The sequence below is a fragment of the Homo sapiens genome, chromosome 10, assembly GCF_000001405.40.
Source record: "Homo sapiens chromosome 10, GRCh38.p14 Primary Assembly".
Taxonomy (NCBI): Eukaryota; Metazoa; Chordata; class Mammalia; order Primates; family Hominidae; genus Homo; species Homo sapiens.
In genome coordinates, this window is record NC_000010.11 from 50,525,284 (window position 1) to 50,541,000 (window position 15,717).

At 39.8% G+C, this 15,717-nt stretch overlaps 1 protein-coding gene across 9 annotated transcripts in view, besides 2 other annotated features; it reads right to left on the reverse strand.

Annotated features, from left to right (window-relative positions):
- The window catches only part of SGMS1 (sphingomyelin synthase 1), a 319,585-nt gene that overhangs the window by 219,684 nt on the left and 84,184 nt on the right, over positions 1-15,717 (reverse strand). The gene's annotated exons all lie outside the window — the stretch shown is intronic.
- Positions 13,266-13,560: a silencer, noted in NCBI's record as "tiled region #12597; HepG2 Repressive non-DNase unmatched - State 6:EnhF". NCBI's record gives its function as "represses a minimal TATA promoter and a strong SV40 promoter by Sharpr-MPRA in HepG2 cells {active_cell/tissue: HepG2}" and the evidence as "EXISTENCE:reporter gene assay evidence [ECO:0000049][PMID:27701403]".
- Positions 13,553-13,762: an enhancer, noted in NCBI's record as "active region_3364". NCBI's record gives its function as "activates an Ori minimal core promoter by ATAC-STARR-seq in GM12878 lymphoblastoid cells {active_cell/tissue: GM12878}" and the evidence as "EXISTENCE:reporter gene assay evidence [ECO:0000049][PMID:35858748]".

Below are 15,717 nucleotides of genomic sequence, written 5' to 3' on the forward strand. Positions count from 1 at the left end.
CATCTAAGCCCTGTGTGCCGCAGATCCAATATGCCCGTTTCTGGCTCTAGATTGTGAAGGTGGGTGTAAAGGAGGCATGAACAGGAATGCTGATGATGTGCTCCTTCCAAATGCCACCCAGACAGCCTCATGAAGAGCAAGGCAGAGAGGATCAATATTTCAGTACAGGCATCACTCAAGCAGGTTACCCTTCTTCACTGGTAGAGACCAAGATGCTTGGTCTCTTGGACCTTGACTGGAAGATGTTAACCTCACTTCAAAATAAAAATCAAGCAAAGTCAAAGTTATCAATGCTGGGCTCTACACTTCTTGGGAAAATTGAAAAACAGAAAAGAATCAAAAGTAGAAAAGTAAAAATCACTGAAACATAATTTGAGGTACGAAATTCCCAGAGAAAGTTTTGTCTAGGGAAAACAAGGGAGACTCTACCACTTACCATCATTTTAAGCACTACTCTGCTATGAGCAATGGATAGCATTTTTCCATTTCCACCAAAGACAGAGCAGTGAAAACAACTTTAGCCTAAAGCATAAGAATTTCAGCTTTAAGACAATGACTTTCTCCAAAGCAAGACATTTTAACTAAGGAGTCTATAGTTTGTACACCCATGACAAAGGTTGCTATGTTAATTATTAAAACGTAGAACTCTCAAATTGGTATTCCTGTAGAATATGTGATTTTTGCCTCAGAAGTTGCGATAATAATCAATAATACAACCATTTATTGAGTGCTTCGCTACAGGCCAAAAGTCACTCAGGGAGGCCTGAGGGGAAGCCCAGCTCTGCTAGTGCTGTGGGATTCACGTGTGTATTAGTCTGTTCTCAAAGTGCTAAGAAAACTACCTGAGACTAGGTAATTTATGAAGAAAAGAGGTTTAACTGACTCACAGTTCCACAAGCTTAACAGGAAGCATGACTGGAAGGCCTCAGGAAACTTACAATCACGGCAGAAGGCGAAAGGGAAGCAAGCACCTTCTTCTAATGGCAGCAGGAGGGGGTGGTCGGTGGGGGAAGTGCCACACTTTTCAAACCATCAGATGTCATGAGAACTCACTATCATGAGAACAGCATGGGGGATATCTGCCCCCATGATCCAATCATCTCCCACCAGGTCCCTCCCCTGACACATGGGGATTACAAATCAACACGAGATTTGGGTGTGGACACAGAGCTAAACCATACAGACACACAATCTCCCTGTTTCAATGCACAACCTCTTGACTACAGGGATAAGACCAATGCAAATTAAACTTACACTTACAAAATAGGATAATAACTGCTTTATGAGGTTTGAGAAAGGATTCAGTTTAGTTAATCTTATTTACCCTGTGCCTATCATGTAGCAAGCACTTCATAAATGTTAGCTATTATTACTGCCAAATAATTTTAACTTTACTTGGGTCAACTTCTTCCTGTTATTCAATCCCTGATTCTGTTAAAGGCAAGAGAGGGTGTTTAGGTCAATGAGAGTAATATAACTTCAAGATGAAAAAGAACTGGCTGGCCGGGCACGGTGGCTCACGCCTGTAATCATAGCACTCTGGGAGGCCATGGCAGGTGGATCACGAGGTCAAGAGATCGAGACCATCCTGGCCAACATGGTGAAACCCTGTCTCTACTAAAAATACAAAAATTAGCTGGGCATGGTGGCATGTGCCTGTAGTCCCAGCTACTTGGGAGGCTGAGGCAGGAGAATCGCTTGAACCTGTGAGGTGGAGGTTGCAGTGAGCCGAGATATCGCCACTGCACTCCAGCTGGGTGACAGAGTGAGACTCTGTCTCAAAAAAAAAAAAAAAAAAAAAAAAAAGAAAGAAAGAAAAGAAAAAGAACTGGCCATGTATTCAACCATGCAGCTCATCCACAGCCATCCACTCCGTAAGTAGACATTGACGGTGTGCCCATCAAGCATGGAGCAGTGGGGTAGGCCTCTGTGGGGAAAGTCAAAATGAAAATGGTGCAGCCCATAGCATTGCTCAAAGGACATCATCACCTTATTGTTAATCACCAACACTTGTGGAATATTCCCCATATGCCAGGCAGTGCTGCAAGCAACATGTGTGTATGTGTTCATGCACACACTTGTAAACATATATATTTACTCTTTTAAACCTCAAGACAACCCTTTAAAGTATTACTTATTATCCCTAATTTACAGATGAGAAACTGAGGCACAGAGAGAAAATATAACTTGCTCTCGGTTGCACAGCCTGTAATTGGCAGAGCTGAGATTCAGCTCCTGGCTATCTAGTTTCAGAGTCTTAGGCACCTAGCCACTTGATACGCTGCCTCTCCCTAGACGTGTCCGCTAAGAACTAGAGTGAGAACAGACTATGATAAGGGCCCAGTAGGAACATAAATAAAGTGTGGCGTTTGTGGGTTACTTGTGCTATCTTGACACATAACAGGAAGAAGAAAAGGCCTTTAACTACAAAATGATGTGTTTAAGCACTCCGTAGCAACCCAGACTGAAAGTCATCCAAAAAACACTTGTGTCTGTCACCTTGAAGAGCCATCTTCTCAGTTATTTAACACATGCTGCAGGGAAAGAAGAGGGCTAAGAATATGGGCTTAGAAGTCAGACATGCCTGGATTTGATTGGCAGGTCCTCCAACGGCAGCTCTGTGGTCTTCAACAAATAAATTACTTGACCTCTCTCTTCAATATCCTCATATTAAGGATTAAATGAGAAAATTTATGAAAGAGTTTAGTTGTAGGACATGGCTCTAAGTACTAAATAAATAAAATAATAAAAATACTAAATAAATAAATTGTTGCTGCTATTTTGCTTCAAGATTCATTCCTAAGTAATATTTAAGAGTACCAAGTACACAATATCAGTCTATAAACCAAAAAGTATGCAACTTACAGGATTTGAAATACATTGTGGATTCATTTATGATATCAATAAGTATGAATTATTAGAGCCCAAAAAGTATGATAAATCTGTGTTTCAAAATGCTAGAGAATAAAAAATTCTTTCATCTTATGAGGTAAGAGCAGCTGTGTATTGAGGGACGACTCTGTCCTCAGTCCTGTAACAGGTACAACACAGATTTTACTCAATCTTCAAAAACCACTCGGGGGTTTGTCAAATGGTACTGATTTTACATATGAGGATTCTGAGCCTCTCAGAGGTTAAATGATTGACTCCAGGTCACACTATCAATACACAGCAGGGACTATTCTTAAAACCAAAAGACTTACCAGTGAGGCAGTCAGAAACATAGCCATTCCACAAAGCATTTCCTTGGCACCAATCAGAATTTCATCAAGAAACATTCCAATATTATCAATGTCTAAATCCCCACTGCACATATTGTGCTTTAAAGAAGCCTAGGCTGGGTGGTAGCTCACACCTGTAATCCCAGCACTTTGGGAAGCCAAGGTGAAAGGATCGCTTGAGTCCAGGAGCCCTAGAACAGCCTGGGCAAAATAGGGAGACCTCTGTTTCTACAAAAAAATAAAACCTAGTCAGGCTGAGGTGAGAGAATAGCTTGAGCCCAGGAGGCTGAGGCTGCAATGAGCCATGATTGCAACAGAGCAAGACCCTTCTTCCAAAAAGAGAAGAAGAAGCCTAAATCACTGACTGGGAGGTTGTGATATGCCACTGGTCAAAGTGACATACTACTAGAAATCTCATTCCATCATCCAGTTCAGTCAGAATGTCCCTTGGAAACACTGTCAGAGATGGGCAATTTACAAATTGCTATAGCTATTCAAAAGTGACTATATTTCCACAGCAATACATTGGTTCCTACAGCTGGAACATGGGGAAAACAAAGGAACATCAATGGCATTAGACAGGGTATGTGTATGTGTTTCAGGTAGGTGTGGATACAGCAGGAAAAGATAAAGCCAAAGATCCATTTCTGATTTTGTTAATAGCAGAACATGCTTACCACCAATATTCGAATCAATTACTTGTAAACATTTTTGTTTATGGTTTTCTATGTGTCACCTGTCCTTAAGAAAAAAGAAGGCAGCAAGAAAGTTCACTATGTAAATTCTAAGACTCAACTCTGCCTCTAATACTTCCAGACTGTAATTGCCATCCCTGAAACGGCAAAGTCCATATTTTGGAGACCACTGTATCCTTACCACAATACAATGCTAGGTAAACTTAGGCCTTCAATAAACATGGATGGATGTTCACACTCAGCCATACTACAAAATGTAGAGGAAAAAGGTGTGAGGGGCTGCCCGAGGAGGATTACTTATTATTAAACTGCTCTTTGAAACTTAATAGTCAGAAAACGTGGAATTACAGGAGGTTCGATTTTCTGAACTTTTTTTGAATGAGTACATCTTACACTTTGGGGGTGAAAAATGCCTCCCTATTCCCTTTGACTATTCAAAATATTTGCCAATATTATTAAATACTTACAGGTCTAAAAATGCCATCTAATCGACTATTTCAGAAATATGAATCATATATGCAAAAATTTATCGTAGCATTGTGCTTGACACAGCAGAAATAAAGAAGAACAAGGCTGGGCCAACAATGGTTGAATGGAGGGACAGACTCTAAACAATTAATTACTATACCGTACCATACAATTGGTGCTTTTGGCAAAGGAGAACCATGTACTGGAGGACCCAGAGGAGGGATGACTAACACTGCTTACATAAAAAATCCCACACCATAAAAGAGGAGTTTTCTTTCCTCCAATATTCTTTGCAATTTCCTCGTCCAATCTTCACTATTTCCTTTAAAGTGAAAAAGCAGCACAGGCCCTCTGTATACTAAATACTCCTAAATAGCCACCGTCTTTCTCAATCATCATCCCATCTCCTGAAAACCTGCACATTGCCTAAAATAAGAAGTTTCCACAAACTAATGATCAGCCACCCTGTTAACACATAACTTAATTATTTTAGATGAGCTTCATCAGAATTTTTTTGGCCCTAGTGTTTCCTCCAAAATTCCTGGCCTTCTTATAGTCAATTAAACTGTATGTGCTTTTCTGTCCAAAAATCTTAAAGACACAGCCAAATGGATATTTTTCTAAAATTTTCTAACACCATCATTAGCAGCTCATTTCATTACATGATTAAAAATTAACTTGATAATGCTGTCAGTGTGACTGAACATTAAAATTATTTCTAAATTTCTAATGGGACAGAAAGGGAAATGGGCAAGCCACATAATTCTAATCAAGGGAAAACATATAAAAGGGCTTTCCACCGAAGTACTGAGAAGCAGAATCTTCTTTTTTTAGAGACAGGGTCTCACTGTGTCGCCCAGGCTTGAGTGCAGTTAGCGCAATTATAGCTCACTGTAGACTTGAATTCCTGGGCTCCAAGCGATCCTCCCGCCTCAGCCTCCCAAGTAGCTAAGACTACACGTATGTGCCACCACATCTGGCTAATTTTTTTTTTTTCTGTGCTGACAGGGTCTTGCTGTGTTACCCAAGCTGGTCTCAAACTCCTGGCCTCAAGCAATGCTCCCGCCTCGGCCTCTCGAAGCACTGGGATTGCAGGCATGAACCACTGCGTCCTCTTTTTTAACAATAGTTTATATAATACATGCAAATGCAGTGTGGTTTCTTCTATTTTCACTAAAAATCTATGAGGATAATACTAAAGTGTGCCTTAGGGAAAAGGATACCTGAAGGGGAGGCACTGAAAATGTAGAAATAAACACCTTTTTCTTATTTCAAGTTAAAAAGTACTAGATAAGATGACTGAAAACATATTGAGCAGGGAGGTTTCACAAACAGGATGGTCCCTAACACAGGACCTTCTAGGAAAACCATTTGGATGTGGTCTTTTATACAGGACAATCCCAGAAAAAAAAACAGAAATAAAAGATTTTCTGAAAATTCAACAACTACTTCACTATTCAGAAAGTCGTCACCTCACTTAGCTAGGGCAGGCACCATTTATACCTCAGTGCCACCACCTGATTGATCTGAAGCTTGTTATCAGTGAAAATCTTGCTATCACCCATGTGTGCTCATGGGTTTCATATTTTAAATGGAACATACATGTGTAGACTACCTGTTAGTACCTTACTCTCTGCTCAACTTTTACTTTCCTTAATAGTAAAAAGCTATTCTATCTGTTCGAGGAAGTGCCATACATGTTTACTTATTTTTTTTTTTATAAATTCCCTTACCTTTATTCATCCTATTCATTTCAAAGTGACTTAGAGCATACTGTTCAATAAACGTGATACACGTGTTTGGTACATAATCACCCACAAGCTGGTACTCTGCAGGTCTGTTAGCATGGTTAGTACTGAACCAGAGGTAAGAGCTAGTCACTGCACTACACACGTGACAAAAGTCTTCTTGAATCCCCACAGTGTCACTCAAACTAGGGCTTGGCTCTTTATCTGCCCACTCCACCACCTGCCCTACAAAGGGGTTGGATCCACTTATCCTACCCAACGGTCTGAACTTCTTCCTCCTCTCTGCTGCGGCAAGTTGCCCACCTTCCCTACCTGCCCACTGCCTGAATGTGTGCTTGGAAGGTATACTACATATACCAGTACCACCATCTCCACCTACTAAAAATTTGGGATATGCCAGATAGCTTTAATCCAAGCAATAGCATGATAAGGTAGGCACTAATCTCATCTTACAGATAAAGAGACTTACAGATAAAGTTCAGAGAGAATGGTCAGTAACCAGCATGCAAGTGGTCAAGCCAGGATTGCAACCCAGATTCTGAGACCAAATTCTGGCTTGGGACTGAATTATTTACATTCATATGCACACAGAAGGCCCTTGAATAACACTGTTTAATTCAACTTTGTTTTGTTATAACACTGATGAGAAGAAAAATTGGTTCCTGGTCAGGGTCACCATCCGTGTGGAGTCCGCAAGTTCTTCCCATGTCTGCATGGGTTTTCTCAGGTACTCTGGTTTCTTATTCAGTTCCCAGAGATATGTCCCTTAGGTTCCTTGGCATGTCTCCACGGTCCCAGTCTGAATGAGACTGTGTGTGTGTGTGTGTGTGTGTGTGTGTGTGTGTGTGTGTGTGTGTGTCCTGTGATGGGATGGTGTCCTGTCCACAATGGGTTCCCACCTTATGCCCTGAGATGCTAGGATAAGCTCTCTCATCCAAGACCCTGAACTAGAATAACTGGATAAATAATTATCTTACTTGTTTGCATCAATTTTTCTTAAGTATAAGTATAGCTCATATCCATCTCAATTTTTAATATTAGAAGTGTTTTGGTCCTTATTTAGAAGTTTGGTGGTGTTTTTGTCATCAGAAATATGCCATAGGAACTTAACTCTTGTTTATATCAATTAGCCCATGAGAAAACTGGTTTCTTAACATGTTGTTTCTCTTAAGAATGACAGTTTCCAAGAACCTATCGATGACATTAAGTGAGGACTTACTGTTGTTAACCTTGCATCAAGTCAAATTATTTTTCTTAAAGCCCTAAAATTGCTAAAAGACTTTGGTTTATGAGTTGCCTATACAATCCTCCGCAAAATTCATGATTTGGAAGGTAGTTTTTAGGTCTTTAGCCGTAGGCTAAAGTGGTCCATCTTTTTTTATTGCTACATGGATCAGGTTTGGATTTCCCAGACTTTCTGTGACTGCAGAATAGACTGATAGCTGATTTCTTTGAATGTGTGATTACTTCAATTCACGTAAGCAATCCACCAAGTGCAGTTACTCGGTACCAAGTGCTGAGTTAGGTGCCAGGAACAGTAATAGTAAGGCATGAATTCTAAGAGCTCTGAGTCTGGTGGGGCATACACAACAAACTCACAAATAAATGAGACAGGTACCGCATAAATCCAAAGGATGAGATATTGATCTTCATGAAAAAAAATGCTGAGCTAATGTAGAGTAAACATAGAATATTTTTAAATACTCTTCTATTTTGAGTGGACTAATGTTTCCATATAACTTTTCTAAAAACAGAAACACTATTATACAAGTATTGCAATCTCACCGAAATCTTTGACAAAGATGATGAAAAATAAGTAGAGAGAGCTTTTTCCCCAAGAAATTCTTTTATTTTAGGTTTACTTTTTTTGTTTTAATTGTGATGGAACTGGCAAAGGTCAGGATTAAAGGGTTTTTTTCCCCTTAATTCAAAATACTGTTAAGATGAATTTTTCTTTTTTGACTTTAATATAACAGTCCTTCCTTTGTTCTGGTTTTCAGCACAGTGAATCAAAAGCACTCATGAATATTGGTAAGTTGAGAAATACAGCTTGAAACTCTGAAAGATCAGTGAACAAATGTTTGGTAATCAGATCAGCTTTAACATAGGAACTTGAAAATAAGAAATAGGAAGTTTCAGACCTTCTTTCTCTAACATTATTTGAATCATCAATTGTTTACATACGATGTTTTGCTTTATCTCTTCAGAACCTTTTAAAGGTTATTTGTAAGTGAACACACACATTTTTCTTAATTATGTTCAGGAAATAATAAATAATAATTTATTATTATGAAAGAGAACATATATAAATCTATAAGGAAAACACTAAGCCTTAAATAGGAAAAAACAGATAAAAATATATAAAGTTTATATACATGCATATGTAAATTACATAAGAAAAACAGAAATGGCTAATGAACACATGGTTAAATGAACCATGTTACATATAATATGACATCCTCTGCTCCGGTTAAAACCAAAAAAGGAAGTTGGGTATGGTGGCACATCCCTATAGTCCCAGCTACTTGGGAGGCTAAGGCAGAAGGATCACTTGAGCCCAGGAGTTCAAGTCTAGCCTTGTCTACACAGTAAGACCATATCTCAAGGAGAAAAAATAAGGAAAGTTAAAAACCATAAATTTATCCCCAAAATATATAGAATGTAAGTTTTTAAAGCCCAATAAACTATGCATCTATGTATTTACCTATCTGCACACACACATTTAAGTATAGCAAAAGGTCTACAAAGATACATTCAACTGATAAAAGTGGGTACTTATAGGGATGGAAAGGGAAAGAGAGAGGAGACAGTCAAAGAGGGCTCTGTATAGTGTTAAAATTTTTGAGATGTATTCATCTATCATTTGCATAACTAAAAAGAAGTTAAAATATAGTACTGGGCACATTAAAAATAATGTAACAAATAGACATTGTGGACATTGGCTCAATGTCACCTATTATTCAAAGGAATGTAAATTGAACCAACGCAATATTTTGTATTAAATTGGCACTTTAAAATATTCAATGCTACTGATAGTAAAATGAGATGAATGCTTCCCTACACAGGGAACCATTATCCATCAGGAGCCTTAAATATGCCCATGCTGTTTGACACAGTTCCAGTTTGAATCTATCTTAAGGAAATAATTAGAAATGAGGATAAAATTTGTATTACTGTTTTCACTACTAAGATGCAAAATTACCCAATCGTTCAACAACAGGGAAGCGATTTACAAAACTGAGATATTCACATAGTTGAATAGTATGCAGCCATTAAAAATTATATTCATGCAGAAATGCTTCAGATATTAAATGAGGACAGCAGGATGCAAAAATAGTCTTAAAAATATAAAATATATACACATAGAAAAAGAATAGGCAAAATACACCAAATAGGTTAACAAAATGATAGCTGTGTTCTCACACCTTTCTTGTTTAGTTTTGTATCCACAGCAACTCAAACAGTTTCCAGCTTATGGCATCAGACATGCAGACATTGCTAAGTGAATAACTTTTCCATTAAAAACAATAGCTATTGGCCAGATGTGGTGACTCATGCCTGTAATCCCAGCACTCTGGGAGGCCGAGGCGGTTGAATCACCTGAGGTCAGGAGTTCAAGACCAGCCTGGCCAACATGGTGAAACCGTCTCTACTAAAAATACAAAAATTAGCCCGGCATGGTGGCAGGTGCCTGTAGTCCCAGCTACTCGGGAGCCTGAGGGAGGAGAATCACTTGAACCTGGGAGGGAGAGGTTGCAGTGAGCCAAGATCACACCACTGCACTCCAGCATGGTGAGAAAGTGAGAGTCCATCTCAAAACAACAACAACAACAACTATCATCTTAAAAAGTGTCTAGTCTTTTTAATTGTACCCTAGCTGTTCATATGAAGCATGCCTATGCACAGAATTTATTCTGAGAAATGCTGCTGCAAGTATTTCCTTAAAGCAAGCTTATTTTTTTTTTCTTTGAGATGGAGTCTCACTCTGTCACCAGGCTGGAGTGCAGTGGTGCAATCTCAGCTCACTGCAACCTCCGCCTCCCGGGTTCAAGCGATTCTCCTGCCTCAGCTTCTCAAGTAGCTGGGATTACAGGTACAGGTGCACCACCACACCTAGCTAATTTTTGTATTTTGAGTAGAGATGGGGTTTCACCATGTTGGCTAGGATGGTCTCGATCTCTTGACTTCGTGATCCACCCGCCTCGGCCTCCCAAAGTGCTGGGATTACAGGCATGAGCCACCACGCCAGGCCAAGCTTAAATTCTTAATGGGCTGATTCACAGATACCACTCTATGACCACAGGATCTAGGTGTTAAGATGGAAACTTGACTCTTCTGAACATCAGCTCTAGAGTCTGAGATGCTCTCACACCTCTGATTCAGCCACTTTTGGGGGAGAGGGGCCAAGCTTGGCCTTTATGGCTGCTACCCAACCCCACTCAGACATGAATGTATTACGTCTCAGTGGGAATTTCCTAGGCAGAGCTTCAAACTAGACAAATGTAGTTAGTATTACTGTATTAGATTTCATTTTTATACATTCTTCTTCTTTACTATATTGATATCCCTTCTTGCTTCACATCCTTCAGTTCTTCCCCCACACATATCCACTCCTTGTAATCAAAATCCTCATTTCCAGCTGGGCACAGTGCTCATGCCTGTAATCCTAACACTTTGGGAGGCTGAAGTCGAAAGATCTCTTGAGCCCAGGAGTTTGAGACCAGCCTGGGCAACACACCAAGACCCCATCTCTACCAAAAATCAAAAATTAGTCAAAAATGGTGGTGCACGCGTATAGTCTCAGCTACTCAGGAGAATGAGGTGGGAGGATCCCTTGAACCCAGGAGATCAAGGCTGCAGTGAGCTGTGATTGTGCCACTGCATAAACAGTCAAGACCCTGTCTCAAAAAAATGAACAAAGAAACAAACAAACAAACAAAAAAAACCCATTTCCTTTTGAGGAATAAACCTATCAGAAATATTTAGATTTAAAATGATAGAATATATAATTATTGAGATTTTAAATGATTAGAACTACCAGGAATATTTGGAGTAAAGGGTCAACAAGGCACCTGTTAATAATCATGTTTTTATTGCTGTATTAAACTGCTTAATTACAAAAATAATTCTACATGCTCACAGAAAACATTTTATGTACAGCACTAAAGCTCTAAGAGGAAAAACTACCTAGAATTTCACTTCTCAAAGATAATCCAAGTGAATATTTTGATTAATGCCCTTCCAGGTCTCTCCTCCATGTTTACAAAGTTTCCTTATTGAAATCTTAATCTGTTTATTATAGCATGTTTTTCATACATTTTGTCCCATGTCATACTTTTCTTCATACATGAAAAATATGAAAAACATGCTATAATCATTGTCATCATTAAAAACATGCTATAATCATTGTCAAGATTATGCAATAGTCTATCATATAGGTGAATTATATTTATTCAATCCCCTTTTGGACATCATCTGGGTTGCTTCCAATGTTCAGCATTTAGGCATCCTCAGAGTGAAATCTCTGAATACATCACTAATCATTTCCTTAGAAGTTACTCTTAGAAGTAGAGTAACAGAGAGACAAAGGGTTGACACATTGCTTCTTGTTTGGTCCCCAGGCCTTCCAGGGAAAACAGCCCACTGAGTCATCTTAGCATTTGCATTTCTCTCAAGCTCCTTTGGCTGAATTTTCCCAGTCTGCATCTCTAACATGTCTAACTGAATGACTGATACATATCAATGCATATCCCAGGACCCTCTACTGATCTTGTTTGATCCTTAGTTCAAACCTTTGTTTTTTCCACACAGTAGCTTTCTGATCAACGGACAAAGTAACCTTTTCTCCAGAAAGTTTGGAGTATGGAGCCTGTACCTCCAAATCTCAAACCCTCCTACTGCTAAGACTACTCACCTGGGATGGTGTCAGAGATAAAATGTTGGGGTACTCAGCCCTCTACCCCATTTCATGATGCTAACACTTAATTTACTTAGCATCATCCTGTTTCTTTTCTTTTTTTTCTTTATATATATATATAGATATATATATATTTTATTATACTTTAAGTTCTAGGGTACATGTGCACAACGTGCAGGTTTGTTACATATGTATACATGTGCCATGTTGGTGTGCTGCACCCATTAACTCGTCATTTACATTAGGTATATCTCTTAATGCTATCCCTCCCCGCCACCCCCTGCCCGCCCCCATTCCACAACAGGCCCCGGTGTGTGATGTTCCCCATCCTGTTTCTTTTTGTGAAACCAAGGTTTCAGTGGGACTACATGCTGGTAGTTTTTGAAATAGGAATGTTGCCTGAGTGGAACAGTAGCTGCTTAGGATTATTCCCTAGGTCATAGAGCTTGTCTACATTGTACCGTCAGGAAGAATGAGGTTACAAAGCAGAATTCAAGAAGAGTGACACCTTCACTGTGAGAGCACAAAAGCCATCCAAGAAGATGGCTTCAACCATTTGCTTATTTACCCTACAAGTAACTAAGCTCAAACTGCATCTATTAAGCCATATGAATCCCATTACATATTAAATGTTTGGTCAGTTCTCAAGAAGGCACTGCTACTCAGGAGGCTGGGGCAGGAGGCTTGCTTGAGCCCAGCTATTCAAAGTTACAGTGAGCTATGATTATGCCACGGCACTCCAGCCTGGGCAACAGAGTGAGATCCTGCTCTGGAAATACAGAGATTAAACAAATAATAATAAGGTGCTGGATAAGATGCAGATAAAACCAAAGAGCTTATCAGGGGTGGGTGGGTGGGCTCACACCTGTAATCCCAGCACTTTGGGAGGCCGAGGCAGGCAGATCATGAGCTCAGGAGATCGAGACCATCATGGCTAACATGGTGAAACCCCGTCTCTACTAAAAATACAAAAAAATTAGCCGGGCGTGGTGGTGGGTGCCTGTAGTCCCAGCTACTCAGGAGGCTGAGGCAGGACAATGGCATGAACCCGGGAGGCGGAGCTTGCAGTGAGCCAAGATCATGCCACTGTACTACAGCCTGGGCTACTGAGTGAGACTCCATCTCAAAAAAAAAAAAAAAAAAAAGAGATAGCTTATCAGGGGTGCCTTCAGCATTCTGGACAGGACAATCCTTCATTAAGTGGGACCCTCCCACTCCCAACTACTGAAAGGTATTTAGCATCCCACACCCTCAGGACATTAAATCCTGATATACACACCCCTCATCATCATGACCACTGAAAATGTTCCCACACATTTCAAAACACCAGAGGAGAGGGATGACACCATTCCCCACTGACAACTTCTGTGTCTACTTAGTGGGATGGAATTCACATTCAGGAAATGACAGAAAACAATACTGATCTGGAGGTGGAACTGTGAGATAAAAGCTGTAAGTATCATTAAGTGGTCAAAGGCGATCCAAAAGAGTAGAGCAAGTTTTGATAAGAACAGGAGATGGAGACTTGTAACCTTCCCCAGAATCCAGTCCAGGGTTAAAGTCTGCCATGAAATGCCTTCTCATCAACACCCTGGATTTCCCCTACTTAAGCTGATTACATGAACTAATACAAGGAAACCACCGAACTCGGTGAGCAGCACATCCTACACACTTGGCAATGCCAACTTTTAAAACACAGGTATTGTTCCTGTCCTCCTGCTCAGGGCAAGCGTTCTTGCCATGTGGGCATCCAGGGAGGGCAGAACAGTGACAGCCCTGGTGAGCATGAAGGGCACTGCTGGCCTTCCCCTGCCGGGCTTCTCCAGAGGACTCAACCATAGGCCCCACCCATTCACTGCTGGACTGAGGAGATCTGACCCCTGTCTAGTTCCTTCCCGCCTGTGTCAGCTGTGGTCAAAGGGCCATTGTTCCCGGAAGGCCAGTGTGTTTTAGCCATCTAGGAACAATGCCCCTTGTTGATCCTCTGTGCTCCAGTTGAATAAGGTCATAGACTGTTTTCAACCTTAGTCACAATCAATATCATCACCTTTTATTGTATAGTGTTGGCATTGATATGTTTTCTGATAACATCTATATGCTCAGGTGAGACTGAAAAGGTCGGTGAATGAGCCATCTTTTATGGATCCTGTTCGAAATTTATTAATGACACAGTATACACTAAGTATTATATGGGACCTGATTCTCAAACTTATGGAGCTTATTTAAAGTACAAAGTGATCACTTTAAAATGCAGTTTTCTGGGCCTCTCAAATTCTGATTCAGTAAGTTGTGGGGGCATGAACCTGCAAATTAACCATCCCCACATGTTTCTGATACAGGTGATCCATGGGTATGCTTTGTGAAACACTGCCACAGAATGATAGTAAACTGAATTTAAAATGAGCATCTTCTTCTTGATGTTTTATATTCTATCTCCTTGAAATGGATCTTTCACTAGCAAAATAAACATTAAGTAAAAGTCCAATGGAAACAAGAAATCAACTTAATTATGAAAGAAAATTAGAGTCCCTGCTGTAAGGCTCATATATAGACATGATAAGCCTATGCAACTGAAAGTTTAATTTATGTGTATATAAAATTTACATTTTAGTCTGCATAAGAGAGTGGCTAAACAGAAAATGATTATTTATGTCAAAGCATACTGAATGTAATTATACAACCTTATATTTGAATATGCTCTACTAATTTTTCAGTATTTCTTACTTAATCTTCATGAAAGAATTATCTTATCTTACAATCTGATGACCTGTATTAGACTGGCATGAAAATTAAGGCATGAAAAGTTTATGCAACATGTTTAAAGGTCAATACAAGGACCTAAACATCCAGAAGGTGATGACATTTTCTGCTAGATTAGAAATGTCAAATAGGTTTCATGCCACATGCCAATTCACACAGACCAGTAGAGTACTAAGAAAGCCAGCCCAGGGGAAGGATGTGGTGATAAATTAGTAATAAATAGACTGGCTCGTCTGGCAGGTAAAAAAAAATGGTGGCATCTGTGCCACACCTCATGCTAGATATGCCAACTCTCAGAGTATTTAGCAGCACTTAAAATACTCACAATTACCACTACTCTCATTCTTTCACTCAACAAATATGAATAAGCATCCACTATATGCCAGCCACTAGACATATACCAACAGACTGCTATCAAGGGGGTCAATGTCATGCAATAAGGTGGTTTCTAACCTAAGGCTTTCTCTGACAAAATGAGATTTAAGGGGGAACTAAAGAAATAATTAAAGTCAACAATTTGAAAAAAGAGAGAGGAAAGTGGAAGTGAATGCTATCTCAGAGAAACCAAAACTAAGCCACCATGACTGGATTGAAGAGGGGGAACACGGAGGGCTGGGGATTAGTGGGCAACTGCCAGGTCATGCGAGTCACTAAGGTTATGAAATTATGATTTCAACTTAAGATCATGGGAAGTCATGGAAAAGTTGAGTCCTGCAGGTTTGTTTGTTTTTTGTTTTGGCTTTTAGGGGAAGGAGGTGAATTACCAGATTTCCATTTCATAAAGAGGGTGGAAAAGAGTCACAGTGAGTATGAATAGCAACTGCAGTCACCCAGGTGACTGGACCAGGAGGGTGGATTTGAGATACTTTTTGGAGGCAGAATCAACAGAAACTTGGTTTGGGAAAGAA